Consider the following 27,719-nt stretch of genomic DNA (forward strand, 5'->3'; position numbering starts at 1 on the left):
TAGATTCTCAGCCAGGTGCAGTGGCTAACACCTGTAATCCCAGCACTATGGGAGGCCGAGGTGGGTGGATCACCTGAGGTCAGGAGTTCAAGACCAGCCTGGCCAACATGGTGAAACCCCATCTCTACTAAAAATACAAAAATTAGCCGGGCATGGTGGCAGGCACCTGCAGTCCCAGCTAGTCGGGAGGCTGAAGCAGGAGAATCGCTTAAACCCGGGAGGCGGAGGTTGCAGTGTGCCAAGATTGCGCCATTTCACTCCAGCCTGGGGGACAAGAGTAAGACTTCGTCTCAAAACAAACAAAAACAAACAAGCCAAAAAAAAAAAACAGTTCGGCTTAGCTACAGTCTCTACTTTCATGTGGGTATGGCTCTAGAAAACTTCAAATTTAAGGTTTATAGCTCAGTCTTTTCTCCTTTCACTATACTGTATTGCTTTCAAATCTGGAATCTGGTATGAGGGAAAAAATAGGAGAGCTGTTGGCCTTGCTGCGTAGCAGAAGCAGGGACAGCAGCCTGGCTTCAGACAGACAGCCTCTTGCCACTGCTCTTTAGTTCCCCGTCTCGGCATTCATCTTTCATTCAGACTGACTGGATCTGCTATGTGAGGGAAAAATGCTCACATATTTCTTTCTCAAAACACAAAGTAGGCTTTATATAGATAGGGCTTTCTCATTTAAAATTAAAATCCTGTTTTAAGCATAGTATCACATTAGAAAATTATTGTGCATGCAGTAATAAAAAAAAAAAGCAAGTTGCAAAGTTACTCTATTTTTAAGCAATGCCCAATGGGAAAGAAAGCTCTTTCAACCAACTGAGGTTCTAACTAAGGTTGCCAGCAATCTCTGGCACTCACTTTGTAGGACAGCTTTCAGAGTATATTTGCAGGCACAGAACTATTTCAGAAAGGACAGTATCTGATCTGGGAACAAGAAAAGGGAGTGTGGGGCCAGGCGTGGTGACTCACGCCTGTAATCCCAACATTTTGTGAAGCCATGGTGGGAGAACTGCTTGAGCCCAGGAGTTTGAGACCAGCATGGACAACAAAGTGAGACCCTATCTCTATAAAAAAAAGTAACAAAATTAGCCAGGCTTGGTAGCATATGCCCGTAGTCGCAGCTACTCTGGAAGGAGGCTGAGGCAGGAGGATGACTTGAGCCCAGGAGGTTAGGGATGCAGTGAACTAGTATTGTGCCACTGCACTCCAGCCAGGGCCACAGAGTGAGACTTTGTCTCAATTAAAAAAAAAAAAAAAAAAAAAAAAAAAAAAAAAAAAAAGGAGCACTAGGTATAGTACAGAGTATCTGCTGTGGGGCCATGTGACCTTGGGCAAGAGCATCCGGGCTGCTATCATAAAACACATTCTGTGCAGGGTTGTTGAGATAATGCAGAGATCCAGAGGAGGGACTCCTGACCCACTGAAGTACTCAAAAAGTAAGAGATGTGACTAGCAGTAGCAACCATAAAAAATGATGTGATGATGTGATCTCTGAAAACAGATGTCAAAACAGATGTCTTCTGACATCTAAAATTTGGGTAATACTACTGACAAAGCAAGTTAATTTTTCAAACAAGAACAGAACTTATCTAATAGGGTGCACAGCTGACCTTACTGAAGTAAATGGCAGGGCCAGAGCAGTAGGCCTGGGTGGGTCTAGGAATGAACCAGTTTATGAAGATGAAAACAGAAGCTAAGCATCTTTTTTTCTTTTCTTTTCTTTTTTTTTTTTTTTTGAGATGGAGTCTCGCTCTGTCGCCCAGGCTGGAGTGCAGTGGCGCGATCTCGGCTCACTGCAAGCTCCGCCTCCTGGGTTCACGCCATTCTCCTGCCTTAGCCTCCTGAGTAGCTGGGACTACAGGCACCTGCCACTACGCCCAGCTAATTTTTTGTATTTTTTAGTAGAGACGGGGTTTCACCATGTTAGCCAGGATGGTCTCGATCTCCTGACCTCGTGATCCGTCTGCCTCGGCCTCCCAAAATGCTGGGATTACAGGTGTGAGCCACCGCACCCGGCCTGGTAAGCATCTTTAGACATTTTTATAGCAATTTGAAACAGTAATTTTTGGGCTGTCAAAAAAGTCTGGCTTATATTTTTATGTCTTTTTCTAGTCAATGATTTTGAAATTTTATTTTACAAGAGTATTGGTCTGCAACGGTTTAGAAAGAAAGATACAAACTGGCCCTTCCATGCAGTCTGAGAAGCCCTGTATTGGAAGTTTCCTTGGCCTAACAGGAGAGAAAGACTTCTGACACACAGCTTCAACAATGACCTGATTAACCTAAAAGTAGGTGCAGCGGCCTGGCCTGGTGGTTGCAAGGACACAGACCAATAGCTCTGGGCCTAGCTCATGCCAAAGGCCAAGACCCAGAAACAAGCTTGTAAATAGCAGATACCATGGAAACCAACAGTAATTTTTACACATACACAGCATAAAAAGGACCACAACGAGATATAATTACCATTGTTAGAGTCTCTTCACCAAATTAAGGACCATAAAGCACGTGTGCTCATAACCAGAGACCTAGCTGCCACCATCACCACTTGACAGTGTCACGAGAGCTTCTACAACCGACACACACTACCTTCCAACTGACAGAGGGTCAGGGTGGCCCTCACACTACACCGCACCAGGCGTTATTCCCAGTGCACCAAGCTTTCCATGCGGCTGTCTAAAAATCTGCATCTCCAGCGCAGACCACCTCCTCTGGGCTCTATGCCCTATATCCAGCTGCCTCCTCTGCATTCCCATTTGCATATCCCAAATGTCCAAACCTGGCATCATCATGTTTCCCTGACATGGACTCCTCATTCTGAATTTTATTTCATTTGGTAGCACAATGTTATTTTTGGTGACACCAATGCTATGATTCCTGTCCCGGATTCTTCCTTCCTCTTGACCTCCTATACCAATTCACCAAATCTTGTCCCTTTTAAGTCCGTCTTCTCTGCTCCTTCCCACTTTGCCTCTTCCAGCTTAGACCCTGCTGTCATTTATTTGAATGACCACTCAACTTCCTATTGGATCTCTGCATTTCCTATCTTGCCTTCTGAGCCATCAGTCAGCAAGCAACGCTAAGGTGGTCCTATTTTTTTTTTTTTTTTGAGACAGAGTCTCACTCTGTCACCCAGGCTGGAGTGTAGTGGAACAATCTCAGCTCACTGCAACGTCTGCCTCTTGGGTTCAAGCAATTCTGCTGCTGCAGCCTCCTGAGTAGCTGGGATTACAGGAGAGTGCCACCACGCCTGGCTAATTTTTGTATTTTTAGTAGAGATGGGGTTTGGCCATGTTGGTCTTGAACTCCTGACCTCAGATGATCCATCCGCCTCAGCCTCCCAAAGTACTGGGATTACAGGCATGAGCCACAGTGCCCAGCCCTAAGGTGATCTTTCTGAGATGCCATCTGCTTCAAATCTTGAAAAGCATTGCCAAGCCTAAGTAATCAGAGAGTGACCTTGGGACCACGTCTCAACAATCAACTGGGGTGCTTGTTATCTCTCTAGGTCCTTGGCCTCTCCAGATCCACTGCAGTTCTCTAGTCCTGGGGAACTGAATTTTAAAAGGTCCCCTGTGACTTTTATGTATATTAAATTTTAATTTATTCATTTCTAAAATAATTATAATATCTACTTCCCCAGGGTTCATGTATGACTTGTTTTTATTTTTCATTTAGATGAAAAACAGTGACACCAATGCTATGATTCCTGTCCGGGACTCCTCCTTCCTCTGGGCCTCTAACGTTTAGATGCTTAACACTGTACGGTGGTACATTCATTCATTCGCTTAATAAATGCTGGCTGAGCCTTATTACTGCTGAACAAACGGTACGATGGGAGCTGGGGGAGAGTGCTGAATAAAGAAAGTTCCCATCTTTGTGATGCTTACACTTTAGTGGAGGAGACAGGAAAACAAGTGAGACATTGTCATACAGTGAGAAACATTAGAAGAAAAATGAAGCAGGATAAAGGCAGTTAAGTCACAGTTGTTGCCCTTAAGGAACTTACGTTTTATTAGAGAAAGAGAGTGAGAGTGAGCATGTGTGAGAGTGCAGGGGGTTGGGGGAGAGAACGCAGTAGTGCACATCATAATAAAATAAGTTAATTCAAGCTTCACGCTTGGCGCTCAGTAAGGTTCTCTGGCACCTTGTGGGTAGAGGCCAGGGATGTTGCTAAGAACTCCTACTATTCATAGGACAGCCTCCTACAACAAAGAATTACCCAGCCCCAGAGGTCAACAATGCCCAGGCTGAGAAACCCTGGTGTAGGGAATGTGTCGTCCTTGAGATGACACAAAAATAATCTTTAAAGACAAAAAGGTGTTCCTCAGGCAGATTCCCTGAGCATTCCAGGCAGACACAGCAGCATGAGAAAAGGCATGAGTTAAAAAACACTCATTTACAAAAAGAAAAAAATAAACTCATAAAAGAGAAAAAAGAAACTTTCATTTAATCAGTCAACACTGACAGCTTTCCATATGCTCGGCATGGTGGACTGAATGGGGAATAGGAAAGACATGGTCCATGGTCTCTGCACTCATGGGGTGCTCAGTCTAAGTAAGGAAAACAAGCAAAGAGAAAAATACAATACCATCTCACAGGCATTAAGAAAGGTACTTGTTCCAGCCTGGCCAACATGATGAAACTCTACCAAAAATACAAAAATTAGCTGGGCGTGGTGGTGCGTGACTGTAGTCCCAGCTACTTGGGAGGCTGAGGTGGGAGGACAGATTGAGCCCAGGAGGTCAAGGCTGGAGTGAGCCGTGATTGTGCCACTGCACTTTACCCTGGGTGACAGTGTGAGACCCTGTTTCCGGGAAAAAAAAAAAAAAAAAAAAAAAAAGGAAAGGTACTTGAGTGGGAAAGTGCCTCGATGCCATCATGGCCTCCAAGTTTAGCACCAGGCAAACTATCTCAGAGGTTACCCAACAGACAGGTTTAGGACCAAATGAAGATGCTCCAATTACATGGTTATTAAGTTAAAAACAAAAACAAACAAAAAAAAAAACACCACATAGTGAGAAGTATTTTCCATTTCCCCACAAACATGCTCTGCTTTGCTCACATCTAGCTACAGGAAGTTCTTAGAATACGGTTTGTGTGTGTGTGTGTGTGTGTGTGTGTGTGTGTGTGTGTTTTTAAACGGAGTCTTGCTCTGTTGCCCAGGCTGGAGTGCAGTGGCACGATCTTGGCTTACTGCAACCTCCGCCTCCCGGGTTCAAACGATTCTCCTGCCTCAGCCTCCCAAGTAGCCTGGATTATAGGCATGCCAGTTTTGTATTTCAGTACAGATGGGGTTTCACCATGTTGGCCAGGCCGGTCTCGAACTCCTGACCTCTGCCTCTCAAAGTGCTGGGGTTACAGGCATGAGCCACTGTGCCCAGCCAGAACAGTCTTTTTTTCTTTTGTCTATCATTCATATATATTTCTGTTCCTTTGTATGTCTTGTAATTTTTTGTTGGAGATTAGACATTTTAGATAATATATTGTAGGAATTCTGGGTACTTGATCCTCCTCCCTTTAGGGTTTACTGTTTTTTTTTTTTTTTTTTTTTTTTTTTTTGCCACAGGGTCTTGCTAAGCCCAGGCTAGTCTCAAACTCCTAGACTTAAGCGATCTCCCTGCCTCAACCTGCCGAGAAGCTGAGATTATAGTCACTGTGCCTGGCTGGAATATAGCCTTTTGACTCCATGTCATTACCCGCACTCTTCGCTCTTCCTGGAATGTATTTCCTGAGCCTGTCTGCCCTAAAAATTCCAATTTCTCCTTTAAGCTTTGGCTCAAATGCTATCTATACTCTGCTGCCTCCCCCAAGTCCCCCTAGTGACACACAGGGTCCTCTTCTGCTCTTCCTTATGTTCTTCTTTGTCAGAGCAACATCACAGCAGTACCACAACATTTGGTAGCAAACCCTTTGTCCAAATGCAGTCATACGTGGGACTGAAATACAAGAACTCTAGTTTGGAGAATTTATAATATCTACTTTTAAAAACACAAATCAATTCTGTCTGGTAAAAGAGGCTATCTAGACAAAAAATAGGTTTAAAATGTAGGACTAGAGAACAGTAGATATGTTCTTAGAATAGATATAATATCCAAATTAATTCACTCAGATTAGTGGTAGTAAATAATAACATATTTTTTCTTTTTTTCCAGACAGAGTCTGACTCTGTCACCCAGGCTGGAGTGCAGTGGTACCATCTTGGCTCACTGCAACCACCACCTCCTGGGTTCAAGCAATTCTCATGCCTCAACCTCCTGAATAGCTGGGACTACAGGTGTGTGCCACCATGCCTGGCTAATTTTTGTTTTTTTGAGACGGAGTTTCACTCTGTCACCCAGGCTGGAGTACACTGCGCCATCTTGGCTCACTGCAACCTCCGCCTCCTGGGTTCAAGTAATTCTTCTGCCTCAGCCTCCTGAATAGCTGGGATTACAGGCATGCATCACCACATCTGGCTAATTTTTGTATTTTTAGTACAGATGGGGTTTTGCCACATTGGCCAGGCTGGTCTCGAACTTCTGACCTCAAGTGATCAGCCCGCCTCAGCCTCCCGAAGTGCTGGGATTATAGGCATGAGCCACTGCACCTGCCTAATTTTTGTATTTTTTTTTTTTTTTTTTTTTTTTAGTAGAGACGGGGTTTCACCATGTGGGCTAGGCTGGTCTCGAACTCCTGGCCTCAAGTGATCTGCCCACCTTGGCCTCCCAAAGTGCTGGGATGGATTACAGGTGTGATCCACCGTGCCAGGCCAAAAATAACAATTTTTTTTTCCCATCTGCCTTACAATCTCAAGATTTGCTTTAATTCAGAAGGAAAGTTTTATCCTATGCTTTCGAAATTCTAAATTAGTTAAATTTAACACAAAGTTAGTGTCAGTGAATGTTTAATGATACAAAGCATGAGAGACCAGGTAAAGTTACTGGCTCAAAATTATGAATCCTGGCTTCTTTCAGCCATAATACGATTGAGGCAACTACAGGAAGATTGAAATAGCTATTCTGGGTTCAAGGAGAGTGGGGAATGGGTTCTCACAGTCCTTAGTTCTGAGGCTGAGGGCATAGAACTGCTTGGCAACAGGGACCAGGAGTCTAAAAGGACCTTTGTGTCAAGTAACATACAGAGATTGCTCTGTCCCACCACTTCCTCTCTGTCCCCAAGGGACTTCTGAAGTGGTTTTCAATAAGGGTTGCCTGAAAGAAGACATTTCCCATGCATATGTCCAGACACATCCGGGAGGAGGTTCACATCAGTCATAAATGCCAGGAAGGCAAATCTTAGCTGTCTTGTTATACAGCCTGCAGTAGCAAGATGCAATAGTTTATACGTAAGCTGACATGGAAGCAGGAGTTGTTTCTGGGTAAACAATGTGGTAATGCAAAAACCAAACAAATGCTCATATTTCTGAGCCCATAATGACACTACTAAAATTTTAGAGAAATTTATCCCTAAAAGATAATTAAAAAAGCAAATAACCCATTATTGCAAGTTTTTTTTTTTTCCTTAGGAGACAGAGTCTTGCTCTGTGGCCCAGGGTCTCTCTAGATCTCTATTTCCTGTTCTGTTAAAATGAAGATAATAAATGGACAGGTCCACATTCCTCTATCCTCATTTCCAAAACCTAAAAAGTGCTGAAAATGTTAAGTGTGTTTTTTATGTTTGAAACAAACTAATATGGTAGTAAAACCTGAACCGATGAAGCATCTTATAATCTTCATTTAACTGTTAATGTGATTATTTGCATTCTGCTGCAGAAACACTAGTGGTTTTAACTCTGGGATGCTATTAGAGTCTTAAATAATGTATAATGTTCAGCATACTACACTAACTTTTTAGTATTTAAAAAATACTGAATTCTGAAACACACATGGCCCTTAAGGGTTTTGGATATAGGATTCTGGATCTATTAGAGGGCAGTGGCACAATCATAGCTTACCGTAATCTAGAACTCCTGGACTCAGTCTTAGCCTCTCAAATATTTGGGACTACAGGTGTGAGCCACAATGCCTGGCTAATTTTTTTTTTTATTTTTTGTAGAGACAGGGTCTTGCTGTGTTGCCCAGGCTGGTCTTGAACTCCTGGGCTCAAGTGATCCTCCTGCCTTGGCCTCCCAAAGCACTGGGATTTTAGGCATTAACCACCACATCCAGCCATATTATTTCAAGTAGTTTTTTTTTTTTTTTGAGATGGAGTTTCACTCGTCGCCCAGGCTGGAATGCAATGGCATGATCTCGGCTCACTGCAACCTCCACCTCCTGGGTTCAGGCGATTCTCCTGCCTCAGCCTCCCAAGTAGCTGGGATTACAGGCATGCACCCGGCTACTTTTTGTATTTTTAGTAGAGACAGGGTTTCACCATGTTGGCCAGGCTGGTCTCGAACTCCTGACCTCAGGTGATCTGCTTGCCTCAGCCTCCCAAATAGGCCACCATGCCTGGCCTATTCCAAGTTTTAAGAAGTAGTTGTAAAACTAACTCTCCTGCTTTGAAAGATAACATTTTGCAATAATTTGCAATATAGTAGACTCTAACAGGGCTTAAAAAGTCAAAGAAGCCTTTCAGAAACACAATTACCAGAAATCTTTCCTCTTTTTCCAGCCAGCGCTGATCTTCTTCCATTTCCTGTTGCTGTCGGATTAGACGCTCTTCCATCAGATGGGTTGGCAACACTTGCCCAATCCCTCGCAGGTCCAATACTGTAGAGTCCTGGAAGAAGGGTTGAAAACAGCATATTCAGTCTCATAAGTCTATTCCTATGCTCTTACCTTGTTTTATGTGTCTTTCAAGAAAAGATAAGCAAAACAGCAAGTATGAGAAACAGGATCTCTCATACTGTGCTTGTGGGAATAACTTTTCTGTAGGGGGCAATTTAATGTGCATCAAGCATCTTTAAAAAGTATGCAATCCTTTAGCTCACAGATTCACTTGTAAGGGTCTATTTTAAAGAAATAACACAAGATATGTGCAAAGAATACATTGTTACTTATAGTAAAAAAGTAGAAACAATCTAGAAGTAATAGAAGGCTGAAATACAATACATATTACAGAGTATTAAATATTAAATAAAAGAACATAAATAGCAGACAACTATAGATGCTCTTTCATTCAAATAAGTAATTTTTTGTCTTTTTAATGAGATGGGGTCTTGCTATGTTGCCCAGGCTGGCCTCAAACTCCTAGGCTCAAGTTATCTACCCACCTCAGCCTCCTGAGTAGATGCAACTATGGGTTGTGTTACTGTACCTAGGTCAAATAAATTTTTAAACTATAGGAGTAGTTCTTGGTTTTACCAAGAAAATTTAGTAAAAATTAACATGGTCCAAAGAACTGAATGCTCTGTCTTCCTGTTTCTTCGTTGGCCTCATGTACATGCTGACGATAGTCCACTTAGGGCTTTGCCTTTCAAATAAATGGACTAAAGATTTTAGTATTTCTCCCTGGGTTCTTTTAGTTAAAAAAAGTTCATTAAACCTGAAAGCATTTGAGTAGATGGGGTATCCTGATCTTTGAATTAAGTCATTAAAATATGACCGGGTGTGGTGGCTCAAGCCTGCAACCCCAGCACTTTGGGAGGGTGAGGTGGGTGGATCACTTGAAGTCAGAAGTTCGAGACCAGCCTGGCCAACATGGTGAAACTCTGTCTCTACTAAAAAATACAAAAATTAACTGGGCGTGGTGGCTCGCACTTGTAATCCAAGCTGCTCTGGAGGCTGAGGCGGGAGAATTGCTTGAACGTGGGAGGCGGAGGTTGCAGTAAGCCAAGATCGTGCCACTGCACTCCAGCCTGGGAGACAGAGTAAGACTCTGTCTCCAAAAAAAAAAAAAAAAAAAAAAAAAGTCATTAAAATCAATAAATCTTAGGATTTAGAAATAAAAGGTACCTTAGGCCATGCTTTATTTATTACCTTTTTTTTTTTTTTTGAGACAAGCTCTTGCTCTGTTGCCCAGGCTGGAGTGCAGTGGCATGATCTCGGCTCACTGCAGTCTCGACTTCCTAGGCTCAAATGATCCTCTCACCCCAGCATCCCGAGTAGCTGGGACTACAGGCACATACCACCATACGTGACTAATTTTCTATTTTTTGTAGAGACAGGGTCTCGCTATGTTGCCCAGTCTGGTTTCAAACTCTGGGGCTCAAGCAATCCTCCTACTTCAGCCTCCCAAAAGTGCTAGGATTACAAGTGTAAGCCACCATGCCCAGCTTTGCCATGCTTTATAAGTTAACAAACTGAAGCCCAAGACACCCGATTTACCTCCACATTGGGCTGCCACATTGCTATCTCCTGAGGTCTATGATTCCATGAATCTGTTTGGTCCAAAAGAGATGCCTGACCTGGATAGATGCTGCCAGCCATGGCTGTGATTCCATGTGAACCAGGGTAGCCAGAAACCTGTGAATGAGTAAGGAGGCAAGGTAATGTTCAACTATAACATCTGCACAGTTCTGCTTCACACACAAAGGAAACTAAAATTACAGAGAATATTGTGGTAGGCAGAATTATGGCCCCCCAAAGATACCCATGTTCTAATCCCTTGAACATGTGAATATGTTTCCTTACGTGGCAAAAGAGACTTTGCAGATGTGGTTATAAGTCAAGGACCTTGGGATGGGAGGGTATCTGGGATATCTGAGTGAGTCCAGTGTAATTACAAGGGTCCTTAAAAGTGCAAGAGGGAAGCATAAGAGGAGGGAGGGACAATGGGACCACTGAAGAAGGGTCAGAGAGAGTTAGTACTGCTGGCTCTGGGCCAGGCACGGTGGCTCTAGCCTGTAATCCTAGCACTTTGGGAGGCCGAGGCAGGCGGATCACAAGGTCAGGAGTAGCCTGTAGTCCCAGCTAATTGGGAGGCTAAGGCAGGAGAATGAACCCGGGAGGCGGAGCTTGCAGTGAGCCGAGATCGGGCCATTGCACTCCAGCCTGGGTGACAGAGAGAGACTCCGTCTCAAAAAAAAAAAGAAAATAAAAACTTCTGGTTTCAGAACATGGAGTAAGGGGACCATGAGCCAAGGCATGTAGGTGCCCTGTAGAAGCTGATAAGGCAAGGAAATGGACTCTCAGCTAAAATCTCAAGAAAGGACATTTGTTATGGCTGCATTAGAGAGCTAGTGCAAATATATACTAGAAAACAAGAAACTGTTTCTTTGGAATTTCACATTTACTAAAATAATGAGGGCAGGCCATCCTTGGATGCAAAAGCAACAGGAAGCCACAAAAATGTCTGTGCCATACTTTGCTCTAGAAATCCCCTTTCCTGCCCAACAACCACTATCCCCCAACAAGAATAACAACAACAACAAAAATACACAAAAAATCCCCCAAATGTTTGTCCTCTAATGACCTGGGAGCTGATGGTAGGGTAAGTCGTACCTTTAAGTTCTAACAATGATGACTAAGGCAGAGAGAAGACATTCAGTTGGACATAGAGAAAAATTTCAAGGCAGAGGGAAAATAAGATGGGTTTCTTTACATGGTTCCTTCTCTCAATCAAGAGAAAGAGAACAGAATCAGTATTGGTTTCCACACCTCATTAGGCTAGTGTTGTATGGTGGGTGTTGTCAGTTAATTTTTTAGTGAGATAAAGCACAGCCAAAACCGTATTTCCAAATATCAACACATCCTTCAACAAAGGTTTTGTGCATTTATTAGGTCTCTAGGCATTAATTTATACCAAAATTTCATATGGACAATATGAAATTAATGAATCTTCAAGTAAGACATATAGTTAGTTCTCACAGTTTATTTGAATGAAAATAATAATAAAAACTGCTACTAAATGCAAAATGCTCTATCAAGATTTCTGGTGAAAAGGGATGTATTATTGCCAGAAAACATTTAGGAATTTTCACAACAAGGAGGTTTAAAATGGTCTAAGGCAGTTTTCTACATAATAGTAACCATGTAGAAGGATCACTTTAGGCTAAAAATGAAGTAACATCAGGAAATGTCTCATAGTTGGTCTCATTTACAAGAGAGGAGAATTTGGGCTTGGGAAAGGTTAATCATACATTAGTTCAATGAAAAAAATCAATGTTTTACTTAATTCTCTATTTACTCATTTTTACACACCGTTCTAAGCCCTTAGAGACAAGTCCCCACTCTCAGGGGCTTCCACTGCACTGGTGACAGACAGCCACTAACAAACACGTACTAGAGTTTCAAATCTTGACAGTGCCGCAGACCAGGCCTGCTGGGACACAAAGAGAACTGTCTCTCTGCTAACAGCTTGTCTCATTAAGCAGGTGCTGCATGTTTTCTCAAAACAATGCTGGTATTCAATTCCCACTCAGGGCCAGTTCACTTTCCATACCAGCCAGGCACAGACTCGGGCTGTTCCCCTGGGGCCCATCTGCTTGTCTGCCAGAGGTCAGGGTCTCTCAGCAATCATAGAGGTGGGGTTTCTTTCTTTAGGCCACCTACGTACTTCCCATTGCTCTGACCCTTGTGCTGGGTCAGGGTTTTGGCTTCTTCACTTATGGAAATGGTAGTAATCCAAACTGACAAAGGGCCCTGTGAGCTCCTTCCATGAGAAAAAAGAGTACTTTATTTGTCTTCATATTCCCAGTCCCTAGAATAGTACCAGGCAGAGTAGATGAACATTCAGTGCAACCTTGCTGAATGAACAGACAGGTGCCCTCGAAAACTCAAATGATTCACTCTTGACTCTGCCAGGCAAGTGGCCATCTCAGAACAGTGTCTCCCAAAACACAGGTCTGAGTCATCTGCCTCAGAACCTACTGAGGCTGCTTGTTAACAATAAGCTATTCTTGGGCTCCAGAATTAGACATTAGAATCTGGCGGCTAGATAAAGAGGCTAAAATTTGCTGTTCTAAACTACCACTGACATATCTTTTCCAATAAGAAAGTGCTTACATTCTCCCTTATTACTGACAGTTAAGTACCAATAGTTAAGATTTTTTGCCCATTTTGACCCAAGAGGCCTTAATTTAAACCACGCTTTCAACAACTCTGTGAAGGAAGTAGGAAAGGTTAAGTACTGACACCTTCAATAGGACTCTGACTTCTACAGACATTACGAGTAAAAAAAGATAAGCCCTAAAAAGCACACTCTATATGATCTATTTATATAAAATTCTAGAACAGGCAGAAACCTCTGATACTAGAAGTGAGAAGAATGGTTGCTCCTGGGGCAGGAGGTGCCTGATGGGAAGGGGCACAAAGGAACTGCCGGGGTCACAGACACGCTCTATATCCTGAAGTGAGGATGGGATGCACTGGGGTATGCACCTCTCGGAACAAAGACCTGTGCATTGTAAGGTATACCCCAGTAAAAGTTAATAACTTTTTCTCAAAAACAAATGAATTGTTTACTTTGTGTCAAGTCCTTTTCTTTGAAGGATAATTTTTTCTAATTTGCACAGGATATCTATCTATAAATCTAACACTTTTCACACTTGTCCATATGGTATTTCATCTGGGTTCTGTTAATTTTGAATTTTGTTCTTGCCTTCCATAAAAACTGTCCAGTTCAGTACTCCCTCTGCAGTGTGTGTGCCCACTGGCTTCACCTTGCCCTTTACCACAGCAAGTGGATGAAAACGTGCCTAAGAATGGCAGCAGGCCCTGGTCCTGCCCACTCGAAGATGGAGTGAAAAACAAACGCCTTCTGCGTGGGGTGTCAAGACAACATCATTCAATGATTAGGGTAACCACTTTCTCAGCTTTCTATCGGCCAAATCATACTCATAAGTACATAAATAAAAATATGCACAATGTACCGCTCTACCCCAAAAGCGCTAAATAATAAAATAACACAGTTTATATCTGTAATGACTGGCATACCTGGTAATGATTGGTTTGTACCATGTGCTGTGGGCTGGGATAAAATCCTTCGCTGGACCTCGGACTGGGATAACCCGGTCTGCTGGGCTGTAAAATCAAGAGAGCATCATATGAATGAACCTTTTGATTTTGACAAACCTGTACTTTATGAATCGAAAAAGACATTTTCCTAATAGAGCTTACTTGAAAAGAATGATAAAAAGATGCTAAGACATTTCAATAGGGAAAGAACAGTCTTTTCAACAAATGATGCTGTGGCAACTGGATAGCTACATGTGAAAAACTGAAGTCTGACCTCTTCCTCCCACATGCACAAAAATTAACTCAAAATGAATTACAGGTACAGGTCTAAATGTAAAAGTTAAAAACTAAGATTCTTAGAAGAAAACTTAAGAGTATATCTTGGGCAGGGCATGGTAGCTCATGCCTGTAATCCCAGCACTTTGGGAGGCTGGGGTGGGCGGATCCTTTGAGGCCAGGAGTTGAAAACCAATCAGGCCAGTCTGTTGGGAATGTAAAATGGTGTAGTCACTATGGAAGACAGTATGGCTATTCCTTAAAAATTAAATAAAGAATTAGTATATGATCCAGCAATTCTACTTTCAGGTATATGTAAAGTCCAGAGACATGAAAATATATATCCACACAAAAACATGTAGATCAGCTACTCAGGAGGCTAAAGTGAGAGAGTTGCTTGAGCCGAGGAATTAGAGGCCAGCCTGGGCAACGTAGCAAGACTGTACCTTTGAAAAAAACAAATTAAGTAAACACAAACATGTACATGAATGTTCTTAACAGCATTATTCACAATAGATAAAAAGGGGGAACAGTCCATGTCCGTCAACTGATATAACTGGATAAACAAAATGCTGTATACCTACGAAAGGGACATTATTTGTAATTAAAGGGAATAAAATACTGACACATGCTACAACATGGATGAATTTTTGAAACATTCTAAGTGAAAAAAGCCAGTCACAAAGAACATATGATTTCTTTAATGAAATATCTAGAATAGGAAAGATTAATATAGATAGCAAGTACATAAGTGGTTGCCAGGGGTTGGAAGGAGGAGGAGATGGGGAATGACTGCTAATGGGTGAAGGATTTCATTTTGGGGGTGATAAAAATGTTATAGGCTGGGCGCTATGGCTCACGCCTATAATCCCAGCACTTTGGGAGGCCGAGGTGGATCACACGGTGAGACCCCGTCTCTACTAAAAACAAAACAAAAGTCCTAAAACTGGTTGTGGCGATGGTTGCACAACTCTGAATATACTAAAAAAACATCGAATTGTACAATTTATTTATTTGAGTTGAGACTGCCGTATAGGCTGGAGTGCAAGGTATAATCCCGGCTCACTGCAACCACTGCCTCCCGGGTTTGAGTGATTCTCGTGCCTCAGCCTCTCAAGTAGCTGGGATTACAGGCAGCGGCACCTCACCAGGCTAATTTTTGTATTTACAGTAGAGATGGGGTTTTGCCATGTTGGCCAGGCTGGTCTTGAACTCCTGGTCTTAAGTGATCTGCCTGCCTCAGCCTCCCACAGTGCTGGGACTACAGGAGTGAACCACTGTGCCCAGCCGAACTGCACACTTTCAATGGATAAATTGTATGGTATGTAAATTGTATCTTAATAAAGCTATTAAAGTATCATTAATAACAAAATGGGATACTGAATATTCTGAGCCTGAGGGACCCAAATGCTCTCTGTCCAGTAGTCTGGGACCTGGAGAGAAGGCACTTGTGTTCTATTGTTTGACTACTTCCCGGTTGCGTGACTGTGATCAAGTGACGAAACTGACTGGCTTCTAGTTCCTCACCCATAAGATGGGGGTGAGCTACAGGATCTCTAAAGTCACTTCCAGGTCTTAAATTCTCATTTTGTTTGTGGGATAAATGAATTCAAAGTTCATAGTGAAAGAACAATTTAGTCTGAAACAGAAGTCTGAAAGAAGTCAATAAAGTCTTTTAAAACTTGGGGGGTTTAACAAGGTGGAAACCCATTACTGTCTAGCCAAATTAAGTACAGAATAAAAGGAAATAGATTTAAGTTCCAACAAGCTTAGGAAAGAAAACGCCTTAGTGTCTGTCTCTCTCTCCCACAGTGCTGGGTGAACACGTGCTTTGCTCTAGTTAGGTCCGGAGTATGTTTTGGTCTCTAAAATCTGTCTCATTTCCCCCTCAGTTTTGCTTATACTGTCCCCTCTGCCTGGAATGTCTCCTCCTTCCATCTGTAGTATACTTCTGATCCTTTCAGTCTTTTAGATGTTACTTCTTTCACGCAACAGCTCGTGATTTTGCCAGCCTAACATAAACATATGTCCTCTGCTCTCCTAAGGAGGCCTTTTTCACACCCTACCTTCGGTTGCAGGTACTTTTGCACTTGCTCTAGCCCTGCTATTATGAGCTGTTAAATTCCTGAGGGTGAAAAATCCTTCCTTTTGGCTTAACCCTGTCACGTTTCAAACAGTGTTCCAGAAAGAGTCTACTCTAAACTTAACTAAATAACAACATGAATTCCCCCAAAAACACCCCAAACAGGAAAAGGGTATAAAGAGAGCATTCTAGGCTTTTCTCTACTGTGTGTGCTAGGGTGGCAATTTCCAAAGTGTGTTCTACAAAGTGGTTGTGCTGAATTAAAAGAGGTTAAAAAAAAGAGTTCGGCTACCTTGGTACTTGTTTTAAAGATATGTGTTAATATATACGCATTAATGATGGTTGCAGGGGAAAGGGTTTTCTGAATCAAATGCTCTTGGAGTCCAAGAATGGAAGGAGGCAGAGCCAGGGACCAGAACAATAAACAGAGCTGACAGTTGCACAGTGATGTACTCTTGATAAATTCAGGCAAAAAAAAAAAAAAAGTTACAATTTACTGTGTATTCTGTGTGTACTGAACTACCTACTTTACATACAATTTGATAATTTTGATCACCACATTGCTATGAAGCAATATTATAACCCCTATTTTACAGTCTCAAATAAATTGGGCAATTTAAATAGGGGCATATAGGTGGTAATGGTGGAACTGCATGACTCCAAAATCTACTGTGCCATGATGCTATTCTATGACAAGCATACTTCTGACTCACCAAATAAAAAGGAACATACAAAACAAATAGATCAGAGAATGGCAAAACCAATGTAAAATATCTCACAGTGATGCAAAGACTTAACTGGGTAGCAAATGATAACACAAGGTTCCATTTCAAAATAAAAATAAAAGGTAAAAAGTTGAAAATATGTTTTATGATAGACAAAATATTTGCACAAAGGACAACACAAAATCAAATGTTGCTAACCAACAGCCATGGAGAGTGCAAATGTATTGGTAAAATAGCTCTACTTCTGTTCTCTACAAATCAGAGGTTAGCATGGTGGTCAAGAGGGCAGGCTTTGAGCCAGACTGTCAGTGTTCACAGTTAGGGTGCTTCAGCTCTCTGTGTCTCCCTATTGTCAATGATAAAAGGAGTACAATAACCAGCAGCTACCTCCTGGAGCTGCCGTGAAGATTAAATATGTTAATATATGTCAAGATCTTTGAAAATGGCTTTCATATGAGTCCAAAAGTGTCAACTGCTGGTAAGTACGATGAGTTAGCAAGGTCATGACACTTCCTCCTCCAAGACAGAAACTTGGATTTTAATGAAGCAAAATATGGAACAGGGAAGTTTTGCTGAAATTCTCCCTAATGAGGAAGGAGAGAAAGGAAGACACTGGTATTCTAAACCAGAGGTCCTCAACTGGATGGCACTGTTCCTTCAGAAGCATTTAGGGTACAGTCAGCCCTCCATATCCAAAGGCCCAGCATCCATAGATTCAACCAATTGCAGATTGAAAACATACAGGAAAAAAACAAAAAACAACAATAAAAAATAATACAAACAAAAAGATAAGTATAATAACTATGTAAGCCGGGTGCAGTGGCTCATGTCTGTAATCTCAGCACTTTGGAAGGCTGAGGCAGGCAGATTGCTTTGAGCTCAGGAGTTTGAGACCAGCCTAGGCAACACGGTGAAAAAAATATGAGAAGATTTTCATATTTCAAAAAATATGAAAATCAGCTGGGCAATGGTGGCTTGCACCTATAGTCCCAGCTACTCAGGAGGCAGAGGCTGGAGAATCACTTAAGCCCAGGAAGTGGAGGTTGCAGTGACCTGAGATCATATCACTGCACTCCAGCCTGGGCAACAGAGCGAGACCTTGTCTCAAAAAAAAAAAAAAAAAAAATCTGTATCTATATTTAAAATAATTTAAAGTATACTGAAAGATGGGAAGATGGGCCGGGCGTGATGGTTCAAGACTTTGGGAGGCCGTGGTGGGCAGATCACCTGAGGTCAGGAGTTTGAGACCAGCCTGGTCAACATGGTGAAACCCTGTCTTTACTAAAAATACAAAAAAATTAGCCAGGCGTGGTGGCACACTCCTGTAATCCCAGCTACTTGGGAGGCTGAGGAGTGAGAATAGCTTGAACCCGGGAGGTAGAGGTTGCGGTGAGCCGAGATCGCACCATGGCACTGCAGCCTGGGCAACAGAGTGAGACTCTGTCTCAAAAAACAGAACAAGCCAACAACAACAACAAAAATAAGTATACTGGAAGAGGTATGTAGGTTATATGCAATTCTGTGCTATTTTATATAAGGAATTTATGCATCTGTGGATTTGAATCTCCATCCCTTGCAGATATCAAGGCAGAACTGTATTAGTGAGGGTGCTTTCCATGATCACACAATTGGCATTAAGGTAGAGGTCAGCATGTGAGATTTCTGGCAATGAGAAGGACAGGCCTGAACAGCAGGATTTGTTTCATATCCCGCGGGACTTCTTTCTTTTGTTTTGAGACAGTCACGCTCTGTCGCCTAGGCTGGAGTGCAGTGGCACGATCTCGGCTCACTGCAACCTCTGCCTCCCGAGTTTGAGTGATTCTCATGCCTCAGACTCCCAAGTAGCTGGGATTACAGGCATGTGCAATCACACCCAGCTAATTTTTATATTTTTATTTTTTGAGATGGAGTCTTGTTCTGTCGCCCAGGCTAGAGTGCAGTGGCGTGATCTCGGCTCGCTGCAACCTCTGCCTCCTGAGTTTAAGCGATTCTCGTGCCTCAGCCTCCCAAATAGCTGGGATTATAGGTGCATACCACCACACCTGGCTAATTTTTGTATTTTTAGTACAGACAGGGTTTCGCCATGTTGCCCAGGCTGGTCTCGAACTACTGGCCTCAAGTGATCAGCTCATCTTGGCTGCCCAAAGTGCTGGGGTTACAGGCGTGAGCCACCATGCCCGGCCCCCGCAGGACTTTCTGCTGTTTCTCTCAATTTTATGTAAGTAAAACAACAGCAACAATAAAATCCCTGTCACTTGAACACAGAATGAATTCTGCTTTATATATTTTGTATAGTTTGTATAGATATTTTGTATAGTTTATGAGGCACTGAACTTTCCAGAACAGCAACTACTGTGTATACTGATGGGCAATTTTATTTTGTTTCATTTAAACTTTACCAAGATTTTCTTACCATTCTAGAAAATGACATCACCAAGACCAATGAAATTCCTATCAGTTATAGCTGTGGGGGTCTGCTTTGTCACTGCTGTATTCATGGTGAGTCCACAAACAGGTGTAAGGATCTGGCTATGCCACCGTGTCTCCCAATGTCATCAGATCTGAGTGCTTTATACATGCATGCATAATGTTATAAAAAATGACTTTCCTTTTATTTCTCCTGTATAGTTAGGTCTCCAAACACTAGTATTCCTCCATTGATATTTTGAAATTGCTAAGTCATTCTATTACCTATGTATTTTATTTCAGGATTAGCAAATGGGACATTATAAAATCATTTTTTATATAAATGCCGTGCTGGGTTTGATTAGGGTTGAAGAACAATGTTCTGAGGCAGTTATTCTCAAACATTTAATCATTTTCAGGACCCCTTTACAGTCTTAAAAATTACTGAGGACTCTAAGAGTTTTTGTTTATTTGGAATGTAACTACCAACACTCATACTGTTAGAAATTAAAACAGATACTAAAAAGTATTTATTAATTCACTTAAGAATAAGCTCATCACATACTAAAAAAAAAAAACCTACTTTTTCAAAACCAAACAAACCAAACTGAGAAGAAGGACACATGTACATCTACACTGATGTAAATCTGCTTTAATGTTAGGCTTAACAGAAGGCAGCAGGTTCTCATATCTGTTTCTGCAGTCTTACGATGTTCTGTTTTGTTGCAATATATGAGGGGAAAAAAAGTAAACTCATACAGCTGTACAACTGGAAAAGGGAGGAGTATTTTGGTAGATTCTGGGCACAACTGTGGTATTGTTTTTTGATTTGACACCAAAATGCAAGTGGTAGCTTCTTAAAGGTGAGTTGCAATGTGGAATTTACAATGGTATCATCTGTTACATTAAAATCCATAGAATTAAGGGGGGAAAAAAGGAGAAAAAAATCCACTATTTATCTTGTACTTTCAATGGAACTTCTACTCATGTGTGATTTTTAACATCCTGTGTAGGTCATTTGGAAGATACTGATTTACTGAGCTATAGAGATCCTCCCAATGTTAACACATTTCAGTAAACAACATATATTTTTAAAATATCACATGTTAATACCATCCTGAGCTTACTATAACAGTCTAAGAATTTAGAAAGCTGTCAAGATCACGGTAATAAGTTTTTCAAAATTCTAATTTTTGCTTGAAAACTCGAATTTTATACCGGTAACAAACAGTTGTTTTCTTCAAAGTCACAGCCTCACCTCTTTCTCTTTTGAGAAAATGTCTACCAAATATGCAACTCTGAACAGTATGTCTGCCAGCTGTTCTTTCAAGTAAAGCTGGTCTTCCATGAAAAAAAGTGTTTAGTCCAGCTTTGCAACTCAACTGTATAGTGCTTTCCTCAAGATAAGACATCGTGTCTAGGTGTGCAGCAGCAGGGCTAACATGCCCTTCCCATGTCTTCACATCAGATATTTTTCACTGCTTCATCAAGGCCATTCTTCTGTAAAACAGCATTTTTTTCTTTTTGTGTGAGCACAGGGGTGAAGAACACAGTGATGACTAGTACAATTTCATCCCACTGCCCTGATTTGTGCTAAGGTGTCAGCAGCTCTATTAGCGGAAAAGGCAAATAACATCCTTTTGTTTTTTGAGACAGAGTCTTGCTCTGTCTCCCAGGCTGGAGTGCAGTGGCGCGATCTCAGCTCAGTGCAACCTGTGCCTCCTGGGTTCAAGTGATTCTTGTGCCTCAGCCTCCTGGGTAGCTGGGACTACAAGTGCAGGCACCAACTTGCTTAGCTAATTTTTGTATTTTTAGTTGAAACGGGGTTTTGCCATGTTGGCCAGGCTGGTCTCGAACTCCTGGCCTCAAGTGATCCACCTGCCTCAGGCAAATAATATCTTAACATAATTATCAGATGAGTTCTGATGTCACGGACCTTTGGAATGGTCACGGGGACCTACAGAGGTCCAAGGACTACACTTTGAGAATGGCTGTTCTAGGATACTTTTATCCTGAGGCACTCTATTGATCCAATGGGAATCTGCAGGAAAGCAACAGGCACAGATGAAAATGAGCATTTAATGGGACACTCCCATGCAGGGCTTGTCTCAGGGAAAGTTCTCTAAATATTATTATTATATGAAAAAATTGGTATTAAGTATGATGAAGTGATCCATACATATTCTTAATAATTGGCTTTGTGGTTATAATGCTTTTACTATTAACTAAGTAAGCTTTAAAAAAAATTAAAATTTCATTATTGATTTATTTTTTTGAGACAAGGCCTTGTTCTGTTGCCCAGGCTGGAATGCAAAGGTGCAAACATGACTCTCCATGCAGCCTAGACCTCCTGGGCTCAAACGATCCTCCTGCCTCAGTCCACTGAGTAGCTAGGACCACAGGCACACGCCACTAAATTTGGCTAATTTTTAAATTTTTCTGTAAAGACAGTCTCATCCTGTTGCCCAGGCCGGTCTCCAATTCCTGGGCTCAAGTGATCCCCCTACCTCAGTCTCCCAAAGCACCGCAATTATAGGTGTGAGTCACCACACCCGGCCTGTAAGTGAACTTAATTTTGAATCTTGATTGGGAAAGAGAAAGACTTTTCACCTATAAAACTTACAAAACTTTTCACTTATAAAACTAATTAAGCTACATTAAAATTTTTCTATATTAGTATTAATAACACAAAATTTATCTACAGAAGCCTGAGATCCTATCTAAATTTCAGAAATCTAAGTGGCTCTGGAGGCCGAAGCAAAGGGATTGTTTAAGCCCAGCAGCTCAAGAGAGCTTGGGCAACATAGTAAGACCCCATCTTTATTTAAAAAAAAAAGAAAGAAAGGAAGGAAGGAAGAAATAAAAAAAAAAAATCTAAGTAAGACAGCCGGGCGTGGTGGTTCACACCTGAAACCCCAGCACTTTGGGAGGCTGAGGCGGGCAGATCACCTGAGATCAGGAGTTTGAGACCAGCCTGGCCAACATGGTGAAACCCTGTCTGTACTAAAAATACAAAAATTAGCCAGGCATGGTGGCAGGTGCCTGTAATCCCAGTTACTCAGGGGCCTGAGGCAGGACAATTGCTTGAACCCAGGAGGCAGAGGTTGCAATGAGCCAAGATTGCGCCACTGCACTCCAGCCCGGGCAATAGAGCAAGGCTCTGTCTCAAAAAAAAAAAAAAAAAAAAAAAAAATCTAAGTAAGACTTACTTATTCTAATATATCACAAGCAGAATTATGAAAACTCACCAGAATCTACTGAATTCTCACTTCACAAAGTATAGGAAGTGAGGAAATACTGGCCTACCATCTTGGAAATCACAGACTCATTTTAGACGTGCTAAATACTGTGACCATAGAAGCAGAATTTGATTCTAACGATGGACACTGAGAAGGTAAAAACTGCATACAGGACTTGATTCTGATTGGCATGAAAGTTCAACAATTAACATATTAGTATTTGTTAATAATCATCAAGCATCTGTATATCTATGCTACTTTAGATGATTTTCTAGCCATTAAAACCGTTTTTTTTTTTTTTTTTTTTTTTTTTTTTTTTTTTTTGAGAGAGTCTCACTTTATCGCCCAAACTAGAGTGCAGTGGCGTGATCTCGGCTCACTGCAATCTCTGCCTCCTGAGTTCAAGCAATTATCTTGCCTCAGCCTCCTGAGTAGCTGGGATTACAGGTGCCGGCCACCATGGCTGGCTGATTTTTGTATATTAGTAGAGACGGGGTTTCACCATGTTGGCCAGGCTGGTCTCGAATTCCTGACCTCAGGTGATCTGCTCGCCTCGGCCTCCCAAAGTGCTGGGATTACAGGGGTGAGCCACCATGCCCGGCCGCCATTAAAACTTTTAATCTGGGGGTTGCCAAATCTTTTCTTTAAAGGTCAAAGAGTAAATATTTTAAATTGTGTAGGCTATACTGTCTCTGCCACAACTGCTCATTTATGCCTGTGTAGGGTGAAAGCAGCTGTGGATAATATACAAATAAATGAGTGTGTTCCAATAAAACTGTGTTTCAATAAAACTAACAAAAACACAGTGGGCTATAGTTTCCTCATCTGTTTACTTAACAAATAAACCTTTGTGTAGAGTGCAGCAATCTGCTTATAGAAAAGAATCTCAAAATATATATTTTGAAAATATCTTTTAAAAAAAAAAGTGTAAGGATATTTAAATATTTAAGCCAATCTAGTCTTTGTACTCTGAAACCAAAAAAGAAGCCAAGAAGCCTCATCACCACTGCCCATGAACCTAATTTGGAAAATTAGTCATATTAAACTCACTAAAAATCCAACAGATTGGGATATAGAAAAATGTGTAGATGAAGAGTTGATTTAATCCTGTGAGTTTTAGGGAAGTGTTGCATTCTTTGGTGCTCATTACCAAATACTTATGTTACTTTGCACTTCTGTGTACTAAATAAAGTGCTGTACAGTGAATTATCTTCTTAACATCCCCACCCAAGAGGTAGGGAATACAAATAGTCATTTTGTAAATAAGGAATGTGAGATTTGGAGTAGGTAGGTGACTTGCTCAGTCATCAGAATGTAAATAGCAGACCCCCATGTGAATGAATCCACTTGACTTCAAGGCCTGAGAAGTTAATGATGAGATTCTCCCGACTCTCAGTACTGGACTATTCTGCAGTAGTAAACAAATTTAAAAATAGGCAAACTTGTAAACAGAACATGAAGGGCCTCAGATGCTGGGATGCGGGGTACGTGCTAGTTTTTTCTGTGGGTAACTAAGGATTTCCTGTTGTTGTTAAGCTGGGAATGACAGAGAAACGACAGGTGTTCTCACTGCCTCGTTCAATGTAACATCCATCAGACAGGTATGTGTTTCTTCTCTGGGCCTCGGTCCTTCTCTCTGTAGAGGGGGCTGGTCTGAGGCACCCTCTGTCTCTAAACTTCTGCATAATTGTGTTAATCACTTATTTTCACTTTCAGTGTACGTTTACTGTTACAGAGCTCAAAATGATGACCAAGAAAGTAAAAGTTTTCAGCCTTCAAGATAAAAAAATTGGTATATTTAAATAGTACTTTGTCTTATCAGGTTTCTGAACACTTTTCATAAAGAAAATAATTGTCAAAGTTTCTTAATATATTTTTTAACTAGTCAAATATCAAATGGTGGTAGTTAATAACTACTAACTACAAAAAATCCTATTATCTTTTAACTTTTGAGAAAAAGAACAGAACTGGAGTATTCATGGCAAGTAACCCAGTGTGTGAAAATAGCATCCTGTCAAAAGCCAATGGTATATAAAGACTTATTAATCTAGGGCAAGTGTTACTCTGGCTAAAACCCCCAGCCATGGCATGGCCCAGCAACTGTAAAAGGCCTGGGCTGACCTCTCCGAGGCAGGAGAGGGCACCAGTAAAGGATAAGAACATAAGCGGGCAAGTAAGGTCTAAGGATGCTGCCGGAAGATCTTATTAAGGAAACAAAAGCAACTGCAATGTGCTCTCTTTCCCAACAAACAACCCAGCCACCAGCTACGAAAGAAAAAGGCAAAAAATGTGCAGAGTTCTCAACAAACAAAACAAAGGAATATGGTCAGGTAGAGACAGACTCATTTTTAAATAAAGCAAAATGCAAAGCATCTGTGACCTAGTCTGGTATTTTAATCCAGACTTGATCATTAGGGAGATCTCTGACAATCAACAAAGGAAAAACCTCCTCCAAGTTAGGGCAGCATAGGAAAAGCATTTTAAGATGACATCTGTCCAACTGCTCATGGCTTCAAAGAGCCCCTACTTGAAATACAAATGAGGAAAGTGAGTGCACATGAGGGTAATACGAGAAGACGAGCAAAAAGGAAACAATTAGTTGGTGTTATAACTATTACTCTTAGAATAACCTGATATTTGACTTTCTCCTCATAGAAAACAGCTGCCTAACTGTAAATCTTGAAAGTTAGTAAGAGTAACCCCAAAGTTGGGGTGGGGACTGTAGCTACCTTGGGCGGTGCTTCATCAGACCCTCCGGAGTCCCAGGACACTGTGGCCTGTCTTCTGGACTCCATCCTCATGCGCTCTTCTTGCTGAGCCTTCTCTTCCTCCAGGATTGTGCTAGAGAGACAACACATTGTCTTAGGGGAGCTGACAACCCAGAGTTAGCACACACTAGACCCCACCCTGAGTTATCTAAGGAACACCAGTTGGCTAACAGTAGATGATAACAATAAAGGATCCTATACACAGGGGAAAGAAGGATCAGGTTTCTAACTCTCCACGAAATGATTCTAGAATAGCCTTGGTCCAAATGGGCAAGTCCATTTAAAGCACAGCCATAGGTAAGAAAAAGACAGCTGGTAAGAAAAAGAGGTTGCAGAAAATGAAGGATGGGCCAAGATGAAATGTTTGCATGCCAAAGTTTATCTTGAGCAGAACAGAATTCCTCTGAGAAATCCCACGCAGCACTTTATCAAGCATATACATGTCTGAGGACAGATTCTTTTCACACCTAATGTGATCACGCCAGCACTTACGTGATCAATTAGCAATCTGGCCAATAATCTCCCTAAATTGCTCAATACAATCTTCCTATCGTTCAGCTTAACCAGTGCTTTATCTGATCAGGAAAATAAGCAAAAACACAACAGTATTTACAAGTGCTTCTGAAAATACTACTTGCTTTAAGCTGGAAACCCCATAAGTTGGTAACACTGCTACTTACCACTGCTTGACTACTCAGAAGCTATCTGAAGTCCCACATAACGCTGCAGCCGCTGCAGCGACTGCTAGGCAGCTTCTTCATCTTGGCTGTTTGCCATCACATAAACCCCTCAGAATGCAGCCAAAGCGAGACTTTGCTAGTTTCCCATTCCACGCAGATGCCCCAGGGCTCAGCAGACAGTTTGAAACCCTCGTCCTAACTGTGGCAAACAGCTCTTCCTACATTCCTACAACTCTAGAGTTCTAATAATGACACTCATTCAAAGTTTCTAGGCTCCTGGTAGATAGTGTGCAGTAAACAACCACCCAAAAATTACTCAGGAAAGAGTGACATCAGTGCACCAGACTTTCTAATCTGGGAATTTGCTCAACTGTTTAAAAAGACATTCCTGCTTGGCTGGAGGCTAGAATGTGCTGTTTCTCACACAACTCAACTTACACAGTCACCTTCTGAGTCAGGAAAAGAGACAAAATGTATTTCATAACTGCCCCAAGTCAGCAAACCATCACTACAGATGTTAAGACGTTTTTCATCCCCAAAACAAAAGGGAATGTCTGCCTCAAGAAATGATCACATCAGGACCGGGCATGGTGGCTCACGCCTGTAATCCCAGCACTTTGGGAGTCCAAGGTGGGCAGATCACGAGGTCAGGAGTTCAAGACCAGCCTGGCCAACATAGTGAAACCCCACCTCTACTAAAAATACAAAAATTAGCCCGGTGTGGTGGCGCGTGCCTGTAGTTCCAGCTACTCGGGAGGCTGAGGCAGGAGAATCCCTTGAACCCAGGAGGCGGAGGTTGGGGTGAGCTGAGATCACGCCACTGTACTCCAGCCTGGGCAACAGAATGAGACTCCACCTCAAAAAAAAACCCCCAAAATCACATAAGCATTTTACATAAAAGCTTTTAATCAAAAGTCCCACTCCATTCTCAAGATACGATTTTGGTTTCTTTCTTGCTCCAGTTAGATGATCATGGCTGAGCAAACACCACAAAACTCTTCACAGTATTTAAGAATTCTGCAGCAGCCTTGACAGACAGGCAAGATGCTCACTGGGTGCCAGCACTGTTGGGAACCTGGTCCCATGTGCCAGGCCCAGGTGAGTCCTGGTGAGTGGTGCAGGGAAGTTTGGGGCCAGGTCTGGGGAAGGAGCAGAGGGGTCCTGAGAGGGCCACTCTCTCTGCCCTGCCCCTCCAATCAGAAGAGCGCTCCCCTCCGCTGCTGGGAGGATTAAGGGAGATCATGGCTATGAGAGCATCTGCTATAAGCGTTAGTTGTCATCAGTGGGTATTTCTGATGGCATTTACTTGAGGGCTGCTCATTCAGCAAGTATTTGTTAACTTTGCTAACTTGCTCTGTGCAAGATGCACGTGACGAGGTCTTTGAGGTGCTCTAACAGAAAAGAAAACTCAAAACCTTGAAACAGGGCCAGGCAAGTTGGCTTATGCCTGTAATCCCAGCATTCTGGGATGCTGAGGTGGGATCGCTTGAGTCCGGGAGGTGGAGGCTGCAGTGAGCCAAGATAGCACCACTGCACTCCAGCCTGGGTGACAGAGTGAGACTTGTCTCACCAAAAAAAAAAAAAAAAAAAAAAAAAAATCAAAAACAACAACAACAACAACAACAACAACAAACACCCTGAAACAGGACACAAATGTTGTGATGAGCACTAGAGAAGAGCTCGGCCTGGTACGTTCTAGCTGCAGAACTAAGCGGGAGAGGACACTGT

The 27,719-nt window shown here is 42.0% G+C and overlaps 1 protein-coding gene across 176 annotated transcripts in view; it reads right to left on the bottom strand.

Annotated features, from left to right (window-relative positions):
* Positions 1-27,719, bottom strand: part of PTK2 (protein tyrosine kinase 2) — a 344,180-nt gene that overhangs the window by 34,426 nt on the left and 282,035 nt on the right. For 166 of the 176 annotated variants that reach the window (NR_170673.1, NM_001352699.2, NM_001352746.2 and 163 more), the window contains 4 exons: positions 25,273-25,384; positions 13,794-13,880; positions 10,245-10,382; positions 8,566-8,697 (listed from right to left, as the gene is read on the bottom strand). Coding sequence is in view for 169 of the 176 variants with exons in the window: in NM_001352699.2 (NP_001339628.1) it covers positions 8,566-8,697; positions 10,245-10,382; positions 13,794-13,880; positions 25,273-25,384 (469 nt within the window). In the remaining 7 variants the exon portion in view is untranslated. Of the gene's footprint in view, positions 1-8,565; positions 8,698-10,244; positions 10,383-13,793; positions 13,881-25,272; positions 25,385-25,991; positions 26,245-27,719 lie in introns of those variants that run through there. The other 10 variants (NR_148039.2, NR_148038.2, NR_148036.2 and 7 more) reach the window with 2 other exon arrangements.

The sequence above is a fragment of the Homo sapiens genome, chromosome 8, assembly GCF_000001405.40.
Source record: "Homo sapiens chromosome 8, GRCh38.p14 Primary Assembly".
In the NCBI taxonomy this organism is placed as follows: Eukaryota; Metazoa; Chordata; class Mammalia; order Primates; family Hominidae; genus Homo; species Homo sapiens.